Source organism: Homo sapiens, chromosome 12 (assembly GCF_000001405.40).
Source record: "Homo sapiens chromosome 12, GRCh38.p14 Primary Assembly".
Taxonomy (NCBI): Eukaryota; Metazoa; Chordata; class Mammalia; order Primates; family Hominidae; genus Homo; species Homo sapiens.
In genome coordinates this window covers 49,828,111-49,846,209 of record NC_000012.12, presented here as the reverse complement: position 1 = coordinate 49,846,209, position 18,099 = coordinate 49,828,111, and the positions used below count along the sequence as shown (strand labels likewise).

Genomic DNA, 18,099 nt, shown 5'->3' with positions numbered 1-18,099 from the left:
CAGAATCCCTATGTTTAAATTCCTTTGCTGACTTGACACAAATTACTGCTATCAATGCAGATGATAAAAATTTTATAATGCATCATTCATAATAAGGTTTTCAACGACAAATTGGCTAATGAATACAGTCCATTTGAAGAGTAGATCTAAGATTATTTCTTGCACAAGAAAATTTGAAATGCTCTGAAATCTTCCAGCTAATAAATGAAAGAAATTTAATCAAAGTTCTCCCCCAATTTGATAACAAACCAAAAAATTTACATGACATTGCCAATAACAACTTGTGAACTTGAAAGAAACTTTTATAACTGCCACAAATAATAAAAGACAAATTTGATCCACCAGGCTAAGAAAAGACTGAATTACCTTCCTGGTCTCTCTCTAAAATGATATTATCAAGTGATTGTCATGTGAAGAAGCAATCAAAGAGTATGCAGCCAAAAATGTAAGAAAAAAAGTAATATTCAAGTGTGACTAGCATTTAATCAATCAAACTATTATAGAATTTTTTTTTTTTTTTTGAGACGGAGTCTTGCTGTCGCCCAGGCTAGAGTGCAGTGGCACGATCTCGGCTCACTGCAGGCTCCGCCCCCTGGGGTTCACGCCATTCTCTTGCCTCAGCCTCCCGAGTAGCTGGGACTACAGGCGACCGCCACCTCGCCCGGCTAATTTTTTGTATTTTTAGTAGAGAGGGGTTTCACCGTGTTAGCCAGGATGGTCTCGATCTCCTGACCTCGTGATCCGCCCGCCTCGGCCTCCCAAAGTGCTGGGATTACAGGTGTGAGCCACCACACCAAGCCTATAGAAAATTTGTTGTGATGCTTTTAGTAGTCAGCTTTTCAAAATTTGTAATTTGTTGTGATTTCTCATTATAAATAAATATTCACTTTTATACCTGTCTTTATATTTGTAAGTTGGTGGGAGTTTTTTCCTTAAAGAGGGCGCCCCTTCTTCCCCTTTCCCTTGAAATTATATATGCATCTCACTCCATAAAACCTGGCTGACCAAAGTGCAGAGCGAGCTCTTAGGTGCTGCTACAGCTATTTAAGGTGCTGGGGCTGGTATTGTCAAGTATTGTCAAGACACCTGTGCTGTTCAGGCTCTGAAAAGTGGTCATAGGTTAGAAAAGTTACCAGAGTGGATCAAATTAAAACACCTCTTTATGAGGTCACCTGTCAGGCATTTTAGATTACCAGTAATGTTACGAGGGCCTATCTTTGCTTCTGGAGGAACCCCAGGGTCAGGAGTTCTTGCCATTCACTGTCCTGGAAGCAAGGTGATTCCAGCTCCTTGAAAATTGTTAATTATTTGTGCTAGCTTCATCTAGTGACAAAAAGAGGTAAGTTCAGCTCAGCTCACCAAAATTTGTCAAAACGGTGCAGCTTTTTCTCCTTTTCTGTAATTGTGCAGAATACTGTGGTTTACTAAATTCCAGAGTGACTTTTATTAACTTGTGTCCTCAAATAAGTGAAACTAGAGAAACAGCAGGCCAGATAGAGATGAAAATATAAAGGCTGGGCGTGGTGGCTCTCGCCTGTAATCCCAACACTTTGGGAGGCCGAGGTGGGCAGATCACGAGGTCAGGAGTTCGAGACCAGCCTGGCCAACATAGTGAAACCCCGTCTCTACTAAAAAATACAAAAACTTAGCCAGGAATGGTGGCGGGTGCCTGTAATTCCAGCTACTTGGGAGGCTGAGGCAGGAGAATCACTTGAACCTGGGAGGCAAAGGTTGCAGTGAGCCGAGATCATGTCATTGCACTCCAGCCCAGGCAATAGTGTGAGACTCTATCTCAAAAAAAGGAGAAAAGAAAAAGAAAATATAAAGTAAAAACTGAGAGGAAAACAGCGCTTATTTTAACTCCTGATGGTACTGTTTGCAGGAGTCATGCTCCAGTGCCTTATAAGAAGTTTACCGAACTGCCAGCCTCATGGAGCAGGATACCCCTTTAAGATGGGTGGGCCAGGTGCAGGGGTGGGGTTGGGGGTCCTGCACAACTCTGCTGATGCTTGGTTGACCCTGACGGATATTCTGGGCCATCCTGGCTTTTGACTGGAACCTGCTACCTAGGTTGACCCTTCAGTTCCTCTCCTTATCAGCTCTGTTATTTCCAATCTCTGAGTCACATCTTGCCCAACTCCATTCCACTATGTCTGCTTCAGTTGGCATCCTTTCTCCCTTCCATTTAAAGTTTCCCCAAACAGATCTGGCCTTATTGTATTCTCTATTGAGTTTTCATTCAACAACATTTGTTGAGCATCTTTGTGCCAGGCCCATGTTAAGTATAGGAGACTCAAGGCTGAGAATAACACACCGTTGCAAGCACATCCTCTGGATCCAAACTCCCTGGGTTCGAATCCTAGTACCATCATTTCTAACTGTGGGATCTTGGACAAGTTACTTTGTTTTACTCCAGTGTCCTCATCTATATAAAAAGAATAATAATACGGTCATTTTCTCACGGGGTGAGAGGATTGACTAAGGAGCTTACAAGGGTGTCTGGTGCCTGGTAAGCACTCTTTAAGTGCTGGCTCTTAAGGCACGGTCCTTGCCTCTCAAGGAGCTCATGGTCTACAGTTGCCCCTGGGGGACAGGGCTGAGTCGGCTGGCTTCGCAAGTGACCTGCACCTCCTGGCTACCCTTTCCTGAACCGGGTGGAAGTTTTTGAGTCACAGATTCAATGTATGACCCCAGACAAGTAAGTTCTCTCGGTCTCACTTTTTGCATTTATAAAGAAAGGAAATTGGACTAAAATTGATTTCCAAGATCCCAACAAACTAGTATACTTGTTCTGGGTCAAGTAGCCCAAGTTTCAAACTATGTCAGCTTGGCCAAGACACTTAGCCCTCAGAGTTTGTTTCATCCCTGTAAAACGTGGATGATATTGCTAATCCCCTCCCAGTGTTGTGATGAGGGTTCAATAATACAAGGCAAGCCCCAGGCGCTCGCCGGCTCCAGGTATACAGCGAGAGGAAATCAGGACAGCTTTTCTGATTCACCGCAGAATTCTAGCCACCCGCCCTAGCCGTTCGACGCACGCGCGCTGGCACCGCCACCGCCCACGCCGACAGCAGGTTCCCGGCTTCCGGTTCCGCCACGGCCCAGAGGCTGTGTTGAGGCTAATGGCGGTGCCCACGGAACTGGATGGAGGGAGTGTTAAGGAGACCGCAGCGGAAGAGGAATCGCGAGTTCTGGCACCTGGCGCCGCCCCGTTCGGAAATTTTCCTCATTATTCTCGCTTCCACCCTCCGGAGCAACGGCTCCGCCTCCTGCCCCCGGAGCTGCTTCGACAGCTCTTTCCTGAGAGTCCCGAGAACGGGCCGATTCTGGGGCTCGACGTGGGGTGTAACTCCGGGGTGAGTGACAGGGGAGGGATTGGAGCATCCGGAGCCAAGTGGTTGGCTGCCTACACATCCACTGTGGTTCTGGCCTGGGCTAACACCCATCGAAACTTTCCCAAAACGAGTATAAAGCGTGGCTTTGACTGAGCCAGTGCCGCTGCTGCCTGCCCGCCAGGGTTCCACCATCTGTCTTAGGAATCTCTCTTGGAGAGGAGTCCTTGTCGACTACGTTCCCACTTTTCTTTCAGGGCCAGACCCCAGGTGGGAACGGTCCTTGTATCTAGGGTGGCCTCTGTCCAGCGTGCCTGGCGCTTTGGCTGGGGAGAGGGGGCTTCCAGAGACACACGTTTGGGAACATGGGGTTAGGTTTGGTTTACTGGGAGAGAAGAGCCAAGGGTGACAGAATCATGCCTGATATTGAGACTCATGTGTGCTATACAGTGCAGGACAGACCCTGGGACCTGCATGTTTATTTCAAAAAAAGTGAGTAGGCCGGGCGCGCTGGCTCACGCCTGTAATCCCAGCACTTTCGGAGGCCGAGGCGGGTGGATCACAAGGTCACGAGATCGAGACCATCCTGGCTAACACGGTGAAACCCCGTCTCTACTAAAAATACAAAAAATTAGCCGGTCGTGGTGGCGGGCGCCTGTAGTCCAGCTACTCCGGAGGCTGAGGCAGGAGAATGGCGTGAACCCGGGAGGCGGAGCTTGCAGTGAGCCGAGCTAGTGCCACTGCACTCCAGCCTGGGCGACAGAGCGAGACTCCGTCTCAAAAACAAAACAAAACAGTGAGTTGACAGAGTACAGTGGAGAGGATCGAGAAGCAAATAAAGCATTTTGCCCAAGGGAATGGAGAAGGGCGGCACTGCCACTCTTCTTGCTGCAAACTATTCTTAGGCATATGATTATAATCAAACCACATGCAAAATAAGGAAATGTCTCTCCCACACCTATTTGTAGCCACTGGGATATTCTACACTAGCAGGCAGTCTGAACTTACCACGGCAAATGCTTCAAAAGTTAGTACCCTCTCTGCGCTCCCTCCATCACTCCAGTCCAGCATCTGGAGGGCGGGGGACAATTCTGTTACGTTGCTGTCCTTTTACAGAAGAGACTTTGGGGGACGACTTCAGACCTTGTGGGACTCAGATGATAGTAGGAAGGGGACATTTGGATACAGTCTCAAAGACTGGAATGAGGAGATGGGTTGATGTCCTGTGTCCCCTGCAAAATTTCTCCGCTGTGATGATACGGGAAGTCAGAGGGTAAAAACAATGGAAAAGAGAGACTGAGGTTAAGGCTTGGGATTTCACGAAAGGCATTAGGAAACCACCAGAGATTTTAAAGTTGAGAGTAGTATACACATGAGAGGTAAAGACATAGTTGGCAGCTAACTAGGGTAGTGGTTCCCAAACCTGGCTGTACGTTTATGGAGCTTTCTGTTTTGCAGTTTTTAAAAAATGCTTTTTCTTGTGGATCTTTGTAGTCAGGAAAGGGAAAAAAAATGCTTGCGCTTGATAAAACAAAAAAATTCAAACTACAAAGGGGTATATACTAAAAAGTAAGTCTCTACTCCCAACCCTAAATCCTCCTTTTCCCCCACACAGTGGCACTACTGTTTATAATTTCTTAGGTATCAGTCTTGTGTGTATACCAGCATTTACGTACATATAAGTACCCCCCTTTTAGTTTTACAAATGGTAACACACTATTAGTAGCTTTTAATTCTGAGATTATTTATATCACCACATTCTTTTTTTAGCAGCTTCCTAATGTTTCATTGGATAGATGTACCATAATTTATGGGTGCTTTTTTTTTTCAATTTTAAAAACTCCTTTCCCAGCCTGGGCAACATGGCAAAACCCCATCTCTAAAAAAAATTAGCCAGGTGTGGTGGTGGGCATCTGTAGTCCCAGCTACTTAGAGAGCTGAGGGAGGAGGATCGCTTGAACCCAGGAGGTCGAGGCTGCAGTGAGCCTTGATTGTGCCACATACCCCAGCCTGGGTGACGAAGTGAGACCCTGTCTCAAATAAAACAACAACAAAAAACCCAAAAAACTGCTGGGTGCAGTGGCTGACGCTGTAATCCCAGCATTTTCAGAGACTGACGCTGGTGGATTGCTTGAGCTCGGGAGTTTGAGATCAGCCTGGGCAACATGGCAAAATCTCATCCCTACCAAAAATACAAAAATTAGCTGGGCATGGTGGTGTGCACCTGTGGTTCCAGCTACTCATAAGGCTGAAGTAGGAGGATCTCTGGAGCCTGGGAAGTCAAGGTTGCAGTGATCACACCACTGTACTCCAGCCTGGGAAACAGAGTAAGATCCTGTCTCAAAAATAAATAAATAAATAAATAATAAACATTTTCAGCACCCCACAACTTCCCCTATATGCCTTTTCCTGTTCATAAACCTCTATCTCTACCCAGAGGTAACAACTAGCCTTCTGTTGTTTCCTTGCTTTTCTTTATAGTGTACTGTTTTTCTTCCCTGAATGATGTACTTTAATTTCACCCATTTTTGAGCTTCATGTAAATGGATGCTTTTCATATATTTTCTGTTATGGCTTGCTTTTTTTCTCAACATTATGTATTTGTGAGAATCATCCATGTTGTGCACCAAGCTGGGTGCCTTCATTTTTTAACTGCTATTTAGTATTCTATCTTCATGATTATACCACATTTATTTGTCCATGCCACTATCACTGGACATCTGGGTGGTTTCCATTGTGCATTTTCTTCACCTGCAGAAAAGGCATAAATAAATATTTTCCTCACATGCTTGTTACACCAAGCAAACAAAGTAGTAAACAGAAAAATGCCTTGAAAATACTATGTGGAAAAACACAAATTTGAGTTAGTTATAATGGTTATAGAAATCAAAGAGGCCAGGTGCAGTGGCTCATTCCTATAGTCCCAGCACTTTGGGAGGCCGAGGCAGGTGGATCACTTGAGGTCAGTTAAAGACCAGCCTGGCCAACATGGTGAAACCCTGTCTCTAATAAAAATACAAAAATTAGCTGAGTGTGGTGATGCATGCCTGTAATCCCAGCTACTTAGGAGGCTGAGGCAGGAGAATCGCTTGAACCTGGGAGGCAGAGGTTGCTGAGATCACGCCATTGCACTCCAGCCTGGCCGACAGAACCAGACTTTGTCTCAAAAAAAAAAAGAATTCAAAGTTAGAGAAAGGAGATGGTGACTTAAGAGTAAAAAAGGTGCTAATGTGGTAAAAATCACAAATCATTGGACTTGTCTAGAAGGTTGTTAGCAGTGACTTTTAGCAATGATGGTTATAGAAGCAGAATGTCTCAGAAGGAGGTGGTGAATCCTAAGACAGTAAAATTGAAGCTTTAGTGAAGGCTGAATGAGGACTTTGGAATCCAGACTTCCCCCACCGCGGGTCTGAGAAGCAGGTTTTTGTAAGATTGTGCTTGCTGTATTCCTCACTTTCCTGGTAAGAGACACTGGTTATGCCTCTGGACCCCTTTCTTCCGCCCTGGGGTCTTGAGATACCCAGAAAAAGAGTGAGTTTATCAGCATATTACTTAAGCTGGGAAATACTGCTGTAGGTTCCTTTGCTGCATCCATTTGGCTGTAACTTTCAGCTATACAACCCAATCTATCATCAGTGTCAGGAAAATATGGGGATGATGCATTACAGCATGTGACCCCTGGAGGGCACTGAGAGCCTACTCTGTAGAAAATTTTTGCACAACCTCTTTAGGTTATGGTTTAGGAACCTCACATCCTATACAGCCAGAGGTAAGTGGCATTCTCAGTGGGAGAATGATACAGATTTCTCTTCCATTCACTGATTGAGAACTGCAGTGACAAAGCTGTTTTGGATTCCTCTAGGATCTGAGTGTGGCTCTATACAAACACTTCCTCTCCCTACCTGACGGGGAAACCTGCTCAGATGCCTCAAGAGAATTCCGTCTCCTCTGCTGCGACATAGATCCAGTCCTGGTGAAGCGAGCCGAAAAAGAATGTCCTTTTCCTGATGCCTTGACTTTTATCACCCTGGACTTCATGAATCAAAGGACCCGGAAGGTTCTCTTGAGCTCTTTCTTAAGCCAATTTGGACGTTCAGTTTTTGACATTGGCTTCTGCATGTCAATAACCATGTGGATTCATCTGAATCATGGAGACCATGGCCTATGGGAGTTCCTGGCCCATCTTTCCTCCCTCTGCCACTACCTCCTTGTGGAGCCCCAACCCTGGAAGTGTTACCGGGCAGCTGCAAGGCGTCTCCGAAAGCTGGGACTCCATGATTTTGACCACTTCCACTCCCTTGCCATCCGAGGTGACATGCCCAATCAGATTGTGCAGATCTTGACCCAGGATCATGGCATGGAATTAATATGTTGCTTTGGCAACACCAGTTGGGACAGAAGCCTTCTGCTCTTCAGGGCAAAACAAACCATAGAGACTCATCCAATCCCTGAATCACTGATAGAAAAAGGGAAAGAAAAGAACAGATTAAGTTTCCAGAAGCAGTGAGATGGGAGGGCAAGAAGACCAAGAAAGATATTGAAAGGGTTTTATATTGAGAATTATGTTCATTCTCCTTAATTCCTTAACAATCAGGCAGCCGCAAAACCTGGCAGGAGCTTTTGGTAAAATGTCCAAGGCACATAATTGAAAGAATCAGTATCTGTTCCCCATTGTTTGGAACAAATCTTGAGGAGAATGAATCTGTGGAGTGATGAGCTAGGATATCTGGATTGAGATGGCCTAGGAAAAGTGGTCCTGGTTATGGGTTATGGAGAGGGCTGCTTTTGGGGATTATTTATAAAGATCAGACTAGGCTAGTCTTAAAATATGTCAGTTCCTGGGCTCTCTGAATCCTACCTGGTTTCTTCAGGCTTCTGGACTTGCTAGGCCTGCCTTTGGGCAAAACCTTAGTAATTCAGGTCTGGAATGGGGCTTAGGAATCTATTTTCTGTTTTTTTGTTTGTTTGTTTTTGCATTCTTCTATTGTAATATATACATAAAATTTACCATTTTAACCGTTTTTAAGTACAGTTTTTCAGAACGTGGAAATCCCATCAAAAATTGGATTAAAAAATTAAAAGATAAATTGATAATTTTTTTAAAAGTATACAATTTTGTGATATTAAGTACATTTCACAATGAGGCATCTATTTTTAACAGCTCCCCCAGATGATTCTGAGGCAAGCAGAGGTAGACCATACTTTGAGTGCTTACGGTTCCATTCAGTCCTTCTCTATGTATTTTTCCTGGGGTGAGTTCTTCCCTATGGTTTTAACAACTACCTACATGCGGCCGGGCGCGGTGGCTCACGCCTGTAATCGCAGCACTTTGGGAGGCCGAGGCGGGTGGATCACGAGGTCAGGAGATCGAGACCATCCCGGCTAAAACGGTGAAACCCCGTCTCTACTAAAAATACAAAAAATTAGCCGGGCGTAGTGGCGGGCGCCTGTAGTCCCAGCTACTTGGGAGGCTGAGGCAGGAGAATGGCGTGAACCCGGGAGGCGGAGCTTGCAGTGAGCCGAGATCCCGCCACTGCACTCCAGCCTGGGCGACAGAGCGAGACTCCGTCTCAAAAAAAAAAAAAAAAAAAACAAAAAAAAAAACAACTACCTACATGCTTATGGTCCCCAAATATATTGGTAGCCCGACATCCACAGTTCCAGACTAGCATTTTTCCTGTTTTGTCATTATATCCCTTAGTTCTTAGGTACATCAGAATCAACAGATCTCAAAAGCAAGCTCACTACCCTCATTCAAAACCTAGTCCTATCTCATTTGATAGTAATCATTGCTTATGCTAGAAACCTCAGTTGATTTTCTCACTTACACTCCCCCACATTGAAATGCTCTCAAAGTCCAGCAGCAAATTCTATCAATTACATGTAAGTTTCATTCCATACATGTGTCCGGTGCCTGGTGGGAGGTTCCTATATTAAAGTCATCTACCTTCCATCCATTGTCTGCCTTACAGCCACAGTTTACTCATCTGTACAACGAAATAACACCACTTTCCTTTTCCTATGCCCAAATGAGCTAAGGATGTGAAGGTATTTTGCAGAATATAGAGTGATAAAGAAAAATAAGGTGCTATTACACTGTGTGAGCATGCCGCAGACCACAACTGCACTTGTTAGACTGGAGGCTTATGAGAAAAACATCTCACCTTGTAGAAAACATGCATCTTACTATCTCTGATAACTTGTTTTTCAGGATGATGAAGTAATAAGGAGTCCAGCTTCAGTGCTACAGAGCATTTTAAAGGAAGCAGTGTTGGGAGGGAGGGATATGGAACTAATGGAAATGAGGCTAGTTTATGATGGTCTCAGTTATCACAGTAGATACAGAGCTGAGTTTACCCACAAGATCTTAATTTAGGAACACTTTGAAACCCTGTAACCCTGCTGGGTGCTCTCTCCTCTCACTCCACCAAGGCAGCGCACAGAAACATACATGGGGCTGTGGTAGGATGAATAATGGTCCCCCAAGATGTCCACCTCCTTTAGCAAAAGGGGCTTTGCAAATGAGATTGAGGATCTTCAGATAGGGAGATTAATCTGGATGATCAGAATATACCCTAAGTGCAATCATCAGTGTTCTTATAATAGGGAGGCAGAGGGAGAGCTGACCACAGTAGGAGATGTAATGACAAAAGCAAGAGGTTGGAGTGATATGAAGAAGGGCTGCAAGTCAAGGAATGCAGGTGGCTTCTAGAAGTTAGAAAAAGCAAGAAAATGTATTCTCCCCTGAAGCCTCCAGAAGGAACAGCCCTGCCAACACCTTGATTTCAGATTTAATCTCCAGAGCTGTAAGAGAATAAATCAGTATTTTAAACCACTAAGGTTTGTGGTGATTTCTTACAGCAGCACTATAAAACTAATACATGGGCTCTGACTACAGTGAGACTGGCTTACAAAAGCCAAGTGGCACCTTTCCCAGATAACTCCTTGTTAACAGAAAATAACCTCAGTGAGCAGAAGGATACACAAGGGCTTTGTCCAACATGGCTAATTAAGAAATTGCCAGGTGCAGTGGCTCACGCCTGTAATCCCAACACTGGGAGGCTTAGGCAGGTGGGTCACTTGAGCTCAGCAGTTTGAGACCAGCCTGGGCAACATGGCAAAACCCCAAATCTGCAAAAAATACACACACAAAAAAAAAATTAGCTGGGAGTGGTGGCACGCACCTGTAGTCCAGCAACTTGGGAGGCTGAGGTGCAGGATCACTTGAGCCCAGGAGGCTGAGGTTGCAGTGAGCCAAGATCATGCCACTGCACTCCAGCCTGGGTAATAGAGCGATACTGTCTTAAAAAAAGAAATCCTCAATAACGAAAAGCTTTTGGAGATGCTTCAGCATCTGAACCTGACCTGTTCCCTAGTAACAGATTGGCTGAGCAGTTACCTGACCTGTTGGGAGGAACCACTGTATTTCATGTCTGTGGCAGTTAGTTTCAAAAAGGATGTGCAGGCACGCACCTGTAATCCCAGCTACTTGGGCGGCTGGGGCAGGAGAACCGCTTGAACCCGGGAGGTGGAGATTGCAGTGAGCTGAGATCGCACCACTGCATTCCAGCCTGGGCGACATGAGCGAGACTCCGTCTCAAAAAAAAAAAAAAAAAAAAAAAGGCAGAAAGGATTGGCTGGGCGTGGTGGCTCACGCCTGTAATCCCAGCACTTTGGGAGGCCGAGGCGGGTGGATCACGAGGTCAAGAGTTCGAGACCAGCCTGACCAACATAGTGAAACCCCGTCTCTACTAAAAATACAAAAATTAGCTGGGCGTAGTGGCACGCGCCTGTAATCCCAGCTACTTGGGAGGCTGGGGCAGGAGAATCGCTTGAACCCGGGAGGTGGAGGTTGCAGTGAGCTGAGATCACACGACTGCATTCCAGCCTGGGCGACAGGGCGAGACTCCGTCTCAAAAAAAAAAAAACAAAAACAAAAACAAAAAGGATGTGCAATTAGTGCCCATAAAAATGAGGTCCTCAGGTCGGGTGCAGTGGCTCATGTCTGTAATCTCAACACTGAGAGGCCAAGGCAGGAGAATCACTTGAGCCCAGGAGTTACAGACCAGCCTGGGTAAGACAATAAGACTTCATCTCTACAAAAAAAATTTTAAAATTAGCGGAACATGGTGGCGTGTGCCTATAGTCCTAGCTACTCGGGAGGCCGAAGTGGGAGGATTGCTTGAGCCTGGAAAGCAGAGGTTGCAGTGAGCCGAGATTGTGCCATTGCACTCCAGCCTGGACAGCAGAGTGAGACTCTATCTTAAAAAAAAAAAAAAAAAAAAAAAAGGAATGGCAGTATAAGCATATTTAGCCATATAGAAGAATCAGCCAAAAAGTTAAAATGGCTCATTGCTGGAGGTAAGGAATGCAGCAAATAATTGCTTCTGCATTATTTGATTATTAAACCATATGGACATATTACATTTTATAAAAACTAATCTTAAATGAATAATTTTTAAAATTAGCCAGTGTTTTCTAAAATAACTCTTACTGTACCACCCATCTATCTGCCTAATTTTTCCCTCACAGCATAGCCAAAATCTTAGAAAAGTTTTTTTGTTGTTGTTTGTGTTTTTGTTTTGTTTTTGAGACAGAGTCTCACTCTATCACCCAGGCTGGAGTGCAATGGCGCAATTGGCTCACTGCAACCTCCACCTCCCAGGCTCAAGCGATTCTCCTGCCTCAGCCTCCTGAGTAGCTGGGATTACAGGCACATGCCACCGCACACAGCTAATTTTTGTATTTTTAGTAGAGACGGGGTTTCACATGTAGGCCAGGCCGGTCTTGAATTCCTGACCTCAGGTGATCCACCCACCTCGTCCTCCCAAAGTGCTGGAATTACAGGCATGGGACACCGCGCCCAGCCAAAAAGTTTTAAACATCTCCTGTCTCCATTCCTTACTTTGTAAATTTTTCTCAATCCTTCAGAATCTGGTTTTGCCAGGTCAGGCGTGGTGGCTCACGCCTGTAATCCTAACACTTTGGAAGGCCAAGAGGGGAGGACTGCTTGAGCCCAGGAGTTCGAGAACAGCCTGGGCAATGGAGTGAGACCCCATCTCTATTTTAAATAAACAAATAAAGTCTGGTTTTATCAAAGTCTCCAATGACATGTGGCCAGAGTCAGTGGGGATGTCTCTGTCCTGATCCAACTTGACTCAGCAACATCGGGGCCAAAAAATCATCCCTTCCTATTCATGGGGAATTGGTTCCAGGACCCACAAGGATACAAAAATCAAAGGATGCTTAAGTCCCTTACATAAAATAGTATAGTATTTGCAAATGACCTAGGGGTATTCTCCTATATACTTTAAATCATCTCTAGATTACTTATAATATGTAATATCATGTAAATACTATGTAAATAGTTAACACTAAATTTTTAAAATTTTGTATTTTTATTGCTGTAGTTATTTTTTTTTCTGATCTAGTCTTCAGAGAGATGTAGTTTTTATTCTTTTATTTTTTCTGATCTGAGATTGATTGAGTGCATGGATGTGGAAGCCACCAATAAGAAGGACCGACTGTATTTGGTCTTTTTTTTTGGAAATCCCTTTCTTGGGTTCTGGTGACAGCATTCATTCAGTTTTCTTTCTCCCTCTCTGGAGACCCCCCTCTAATGTTGATGTTCCTTGGGGTTCTGTTCCTGCCTTTCTTTTCTCTCCTTGCATGATCTCCTCAACTCCATGACTTCAGTAACCACCAACGTTCTGAGGACTCACAAATCTCTTATCTATCATCCTGATTCCTCTCCTGAGCTTCAGAATTATTTATCCCACAGCCTACATCAGTGCTTCCCAACCTTTTCCATGTCAGTACACACATAGTAAATGATGGTGTTTTATATGCTGGATGATGCAATCTGGCATAACCAAGATTGCTCTCTGACTCAGGAAGCTTGTGCTGCCCTGAGAATTGTGAAGCCCATTATGCAGCACCACCGTAAACTCTTCCTGAGGCACACAGTTGGGAAGTTCTGACGAGTTGGAGAGATGTTTCTACTTGGATGCCCCCTGGGCATTTCTACGTCCTCTCCATCACCACTATCACTTTCCTAGTCCAGACCACATCATTTCTCGTTTTTCTCCTCAGGTACTACAAAAACCTTGCCTGGCCCCCCTGACTTCAGTCTTGCTCTCTCTATCCTCCTCACTGCAACCACATGGATCTAAAATGCAAATCTGATTATGCTACTCTCCTGCTTAAAACCATTCAAAGGCTACACTGCTCTTAGGATAAAGGATGATCTACCCACTGCTTACCTTTCCAGTCTCATTGTTTATCATACCCCACATGAACTCTGTACAAGTTATCTAATACTTTATATACAGAGCTTAGCATATAGATTCAATAAAAATGTTTGAATGATGAAAAGTGATGAAAAAGAGGTTCAAGGATATGAGTAGATTCATCATATCTGTGCCAGGTAGGAGGTTTCAAAGCACATATTGGCGATGCTGTCAGAATCCAAGGAACATGACTGTTCCGTACAGAATTATGTATATGTAGCAGTAAAGATCTATTCCTATATAGCAAGTGGACCAAAGATTATACAACAGCTCCTTTCTTCCTCTTACTGATCAGGAAAGACATTGAGATTGCACTCAGAGTCCATCCAACTGGAAAACAGCCAGATTACAAAAATGTTTTGAGGCCAGGCATGGTAGCTCACATCTATAATCCCAGCACTTTGGGAGGCCACAGTGGGAGGATCGCTTGATCTCAGGAGTTCAAGACCAGCCTGAGCAATACAGTGAGACCCTGTCTCTACAAAAAATGAAAAAATTAGCTGGGTATGGTGGTGCGCACTTGTAGTCCCAGCTGCTTGGTAGGGGCTCACTTGAGCCTAGAGGTCAAGGCTGCAGTGAGCTGTGATCACACCACTGCACTCCAATCTGGGTGACACAGCAAGACCCTATCTGGAAAAAAAAAAAGAAAAAATGTTTTGAGAGGCTAGTTACCAACCTGACTATCTCCTGTTGCCAGGAGTTCTAAACTAGAGTCAGCTTATCAACCAATGGCTAAATGGCTATAGTTTCAACCTCTGAGAATTGAAGATGCTCCAACATTAAATGAATGACCACACAGTATTAAAGCAGGGAACCCCATTCAAAGTACTGATGTTAGCAGTGACGAGGTGATTCTCTCTGAGAATCCATCTATCAGGCACCAGCACTACATGCATAGTTAGACAATACCACCAAACTGGTTTGTTACTAAACCAGTAGTAACAGCTTGCAGCTAACAGAGACCTAAGAGGCCTAGCCTGTTTTGTTACACAGACGACTCAAGTAAATAACAATATATGATTAGTGGTATATCATAAGAGTGAAGAACAAACTTTGGGACTTCTGTGTAATTTTTAATTTATGCAAATAATAGCACTAAGGAATGAAAGTGCCTTAAGCCTTATCAAAAGACTGAAAGGGATCTTGAAGCAATAGTAGCTACACTTCTTTCAACCCCTGTCAGTGAGGATGAAGGTTTGTGAAGCATAGAGAATCTGCCAAAATCTGAATGCTGAAATTATCAAGTGCACAATAGCCTTTAAGGAAGGAGAGAGCCAGGTACTTGCTCTGACAAATACAGATGTTCTGGCTGTTTATTAAACAAGAGTAAACATCTAAATGAAAAGTAAAATATTGGCTGGGCACAGAGGCTCACACCTGTAATCCCAGCACTTTGGGAGGCTGAAGTGGGCAGATCACTTGAGGTCAGGAGTTCAAGACCAGCCTGGACAACTTGGTGAAACCTCATTTCTACTAAAAATACAAAAATTAGCTGGGTGTGGTGGCGCACGCCTGTAATCTCAGCTACTTGGGAGGGTGAGGCAGGAGAATTGCTTGAGAATTGCAAGAGGCAAGAGAATTGCCTCTTGGAAGGCAGACCTTGCAGTGAGCCGAGATTGTGCTGCTACACTCCAGTCTGGGTGACAGAGCAAGACTCTGTCTCAAAAAAAAAAAAAAAAAAAAGGAAAGTAAATTATCATCTTGATGTTCTGTTTACTTCCAATAATTCAGTTATTTGGAAACATCCAAAAGTAGTTAGAAATGCCTGGCAGACTTTTAAGGTTTTCTACCTCAAGGCAGAATTAGGAATACAAGGCAATATTAGGAATACAACAGGTACATGGAGTTTTATTGGACTTTCAAGCCCTTTGAGGAAAGGACCATGTCTACTTTTTGTTGTAATCCCAGAACTAGCCCACTGATCCCTATTCAATGTTAGATGATTGAATAAGAATTCACAATGCTGTAGGCTTCCGAAGATGCCACTATCATCAAGAAATAAGGTGAAAAGGAGAAATGAAAACATGTCTATGAAAATATTTGCACCAGAATGTTAATAGCAGCCATATTCATCATAACCCCAACTGGAAATACCCAAATATCCATCAATTGAAGAATGGATAAACACATTGTGATATATTCATGCAATGGAATAATACTCAGCAATAAAAAAGAACAGATTACTGATACACATGGATGGATCTCAAAAACATTACTAAGCTAAAGGATACAGACACAAGTACATACTGTAAAGCTCCATATATGTGAAATACAAATGCAGACAAATCTATGGTGCTATAATTCAGGAAGTTGCCAGGGGAGGGTGGTGGTGGGTGTGGGGTGATCAACTATAAAGGGGCATGAGGGAACTTTATAGGGTGGTGGTTCAGTATCTTGTTTTGGGTGTTAATTACATAGGTGTATATTTTGAAATTCACCAAACAAAGCACCTAAGATGTGTGCATTTTATTGCACGTTAAGAATAATTTAAGGGCCGGGCATGGTGGCTCACATCTATAATCCTAGCACTTTGGGAGGCCGAGGTGGGCAAATCACCTGAGGTCAGGAGTTCGAGACCAGCCTGGCCAACATGGTGAAGCCTCCGTCTCTACTAAAAATACAAAAATTAGCCAGGTGTGGTGGTGCACTCTTATAATACCAGCTACTTGGGAGGCTGAGGCAGGAGAATCACCTGAAATCAGGAGGTGGAGGTTGCAGTGAGCAGAGATTGTGCCACTGCACTCCGTCCAACCTGGGACAGAGTGAGACTCCATCTCAGAGAAAAGAAAAGAATAAAATATTTTTTAAGCAAAAAAATGAGAAAGCTGGTGGGGGTACCCATCAAGACATCTTTTAGGTTCCAGTAATAGCTGTCCTTGGGCACTCTTTTCATCAAACTACCTCTATGCTCAAGAACCCAAAATGACTTCTTTATCTTATGTCTTGTCACATCCATATCCTTATTCTGCTCTCCTCCATAAGAAACCTCCTCCATTAATTTCTCCCACTTCCCAACGTACCACGGTGATCTGCTCACGGTCCCACGCAGATAATTTGCTCTTTCCTATCTGAATCTCCTTGTGGCCTTTACCCTGCCTGGACCCTACTCAAGCTCTCTCTGCCCTTCAAATTCCGTATTTAAATAAACCTCCTTCAGAAAAGAACTCTTAATCCTAGCCAATCTGAGCACCCTAACTTGCCTTACTTTTTATGTTCCTTTATTGGACTAATATGATACTCTAAGCTGCATCCTTTGTATACTCGCAACAAAAGAAATTTTAATGAAGTAGGCGGAGACTGTACCTAGGGATTCCTTCGTATTTCCCTGCAGAACCCAGGTGAGAACCTACATTTCTGGGGCAGTCACTACAATGCAGGCTGTGAGGGTTATACGGTATTTAGGCAAGGGCAAATAGGTGTTTAATTAAGGACTAATGGGAATGATATTGAAGCTCTGAGGCTCTGCAGGGGCCTGGATGGGCTGTTTGCTTTTCCTCATCCTCACCGAGATAGCAAGTGGTTGAGAACAAGGTTGCATCCTTTTTCTGCCCAGCCTTCCCCGCAAACCAGTGAGGAAACGACCAGCACTGCCGTCTGATGAGAGGAGCCTGTTGCTGTAACTGTTTTCCAGATTACTGGGGGGACGACCCCATCCTGGAGAAGGAAGAGAGAGGCGGGAGCATTTAAGGCCAAAGAGGCACTCAAGCCTTTCCCCCATGGATTTACACCCAACACGTATGCAGAAAAGCAAATTACAAACACCGACGCTCACAACCACACATACACGTGCACGCCCAGCCCCACAGAAGCAAACGCGCATGCCTGTGGGCCCGCGCGCACCTACTTAGTTTTCTCTGTTCTAGACGCCCTCATTCCACCCCCGCTCGGCCCAGCCCGGCGTCCTCTACCCAGGCACGGCTGAGGTTTACCAAGCCCGGCCCGGCCTGGAGAAAGTGTTTCTATAAGGGGGAAGGGAGGTCCTTCCCACCAAAGCGGAAGCGGCGCGCGCCGGCCGGGCAGACTTAGCTCGCGTCCTGGGAACATCTGGAGGGGGCTGGGAGGGGCGCGCATCCAGGCTGAACGTGGATTGGCTGCTAGGGAGGAGGGAGGCGGGGTCAGGGCCAGGGGCGGGGCTCCCCGGCCCCTTTAAAGCCTTGACATCAGGAGGCGGCTCCGGCACCCCCCTTTCTCTGCCCCCCGCCCCCAAGCCGCGGCCATGGACCTGGCGGATCCGGCCTGCCCTGGCCCAGCTCAACACCTGATTTCGGTGAGTTCTGGGTCTACTTGGGATTGAAAGGGCGGCGAGTGCGGGGGGGCGATCTGTAGCTCCGGGCCGGGGGGAGTGGGGTGTGGAGGGTAAGGCTCTCGTGGCAGTACAGAGTCGGAGAGGGCGTCGCGGCTTCCTGCCCAAACCCTGCTGCCCGCCCCTCCGTCCCTCCCTCCAGCCGCACCCTCCTCGGGGGTCCGGCTGCGACTCT

The 18,099-nt window shown here is 45.2% G+C and overlaps 2 protein-coding genes and 1 long non-coding RNA gene across 10 annotated transcripts in view, besides 7 other annotated features; 2 read left to right on the top strand and 1 right to left on the bottom strand.

Annotated features, from left to right (window-relative positions):
- Positions 2,762 to 2,821: an enhancer, noted in NCBI's record as "active region_6337". NCBI's record gives its function as "activates an Ori minimal core promoter by ATAC-STARR-seq in GM12878 lymphoblastoid cells {active_cell/tissue: GM12878}" and the evidence as "EXISTENCE:reporter gene assay evidence [ECO:0000049][PMID:35858748]".
- On the top strand, positions 3,104 to 10,167 carry BCDIN3D (BCDIN3 domain containing RNA methyltransferase). Its single transcript, NM_181708.3, has 2 exons — positions 3,104 to 3,356; positions 7,195 to 10,167. The coding sequence occupies exons 1-2, from the start codon at positions 3,123 to 3,125 to the stop codon at positions 7,837 to 7,839; spliced, it is 879 nt and encodes a 292-aa protein (NP_859059.1). The 5' UTR covers positions 3,104 to 3,122; the 3' UTR covers positions 7,840 to 10,167.
- Positions 3,392 to 3,761: an enhancer, noted in NCBI's record as "active region_6336". NCBI's record gives its function as "activates an Ori minimal core promoter by ATAC-STARR-seq in GM12878 lymphoblastoid cells {active_cell/tissue: GM12878}" and the evidence as "EXISTENCE:reporter gene assay evidence [ECO:0000049][PMID:35858748]".
- On the bottom strand, positions 5,056 to 17,667 carry BCDIN3D-AS1 (BCDIN3D antisense RNA 1). 3 transcript variants are annotated; one of them, NR_027500.1, is made up of 4 exons: positions 17,466 to 17,667; positions 17,127 to 17,275; positions 7,570 to 7,788; positions 5,056 to 6,083 (listed from the first exon to the last, which is right to left on the bottom strand). It is a non-coding gene; the product is annotated as a BCDIN3D antisense RNA 1 (long non-coding RNA). The 3 variants fall into 3 exon arrangements; NR_027499.1 differs by having other exon boundaries at positions 5,056 to 7,788; positions 17,462 to 17,667; NR_027501.1 differs by having other exon boundaries at positions 5,056 to 7,788.
- Positions 14,110 to 14,404: an enhancer, noted in NCBI's record as "tiled region #4864; K562 Activating DNase matched - State 7:EnhWF". NCBI's record gives its function as "activates a minimal TATA promoter and a strong SV40 promoter by Sharpr-MPRA in K562 cells {active_cell/tissue: K562}" and the evidence as "EXISTENCE:reporter gene assay evidence [ECO:0000049][PMID:27701403]".
- Positions 16,766 to 17,344: an enhancer, noted in NCBI's record as "H3K27ac hESC enhancer chr12:50222649-50223227 (GRCh37/hg19 assembly coordinates)". NCBI's record gives its function as "activates a minimal SCP1, AML or CMV promoter by ChIP-STARR-seq in primed H9 embryonic stem cells {active_cell/tissue: H9 hESC(primed)}" and the evidence as "EXISTENCE:reporter gene assay evidence [ECO:0000049][PMID:30033119]".
- Positions 17,345 to 17,923: an enhancer, noted in NCBI's record as "H3K27ac hESC enhancer chr12:50222070-50222648 (GRCh37/hg19 assembly coordinates)". NCBI's record gives its function as "activates a minimal SCP1, AML or CMV promoter by ChIP-STARR-seq in naive H9 embryonic stem cells {active_cell/tissue: H9 hESC(naive)}" and the evidence as "EXISTENCE:reporter gene assay evidence [ECO:0000049][PMID:30033119]".
- Positions 17,345 to 18,078: a biological region, named in NCBI's record as "H3K27ac hESC enhancer GRCh37_chr12:50222070-50222648".
- Positions 17,669 to 18,078: a silencer, noted in NCBI's record as "silent region_4443". NCBI's record gives its function as "represses an Ori minimal core promoter by ATAC-STARR-seq in GM12878 lymphoblastoid cells {active_cell/tissue: GM12878}" and the evidence as "EXISTENCE:reporter gene assay evidence [ECO:0000049][PMID:35858748]".
- Positions 17,797 to 18,099, top strand: part of NCKAP5L (NCK associated protein 5 like) — a 37,262-nt gene continuing 36,959 nt past the window's right edge. For all 6 annotated transcript variants that reach the window (XM_006719525.3, NM_001037806.4, XM_005269050.4 and 3 more), the window contains exon 1: positions 17,797 to 17,888. The gene's annotated coding sequence lies outside the window, so the exon portion shown is untranslated. The remainder of the gene's footprint in view (positions 17,889 to 18,099) is intronic.

What these genes read in the sequence shown, in the direction of transcription:
- BCDIN3D (NM_181708.3), top strand. Translation starts at nt 3,123, where the DNA reads ATGGCGGTGCCCACGGAACTGGATGGAGGGAGTGTTAAGGAGACCGCA. An exon ending in ACGTGGGGTGTAACTCCGGG is followed by an intron (nt 3,357 to 7,194) that starts GTGAGTGACAGG and finishes GGATTCCTCTAG; the next exon opens with GATCTGAGTGTGGCTCTATA.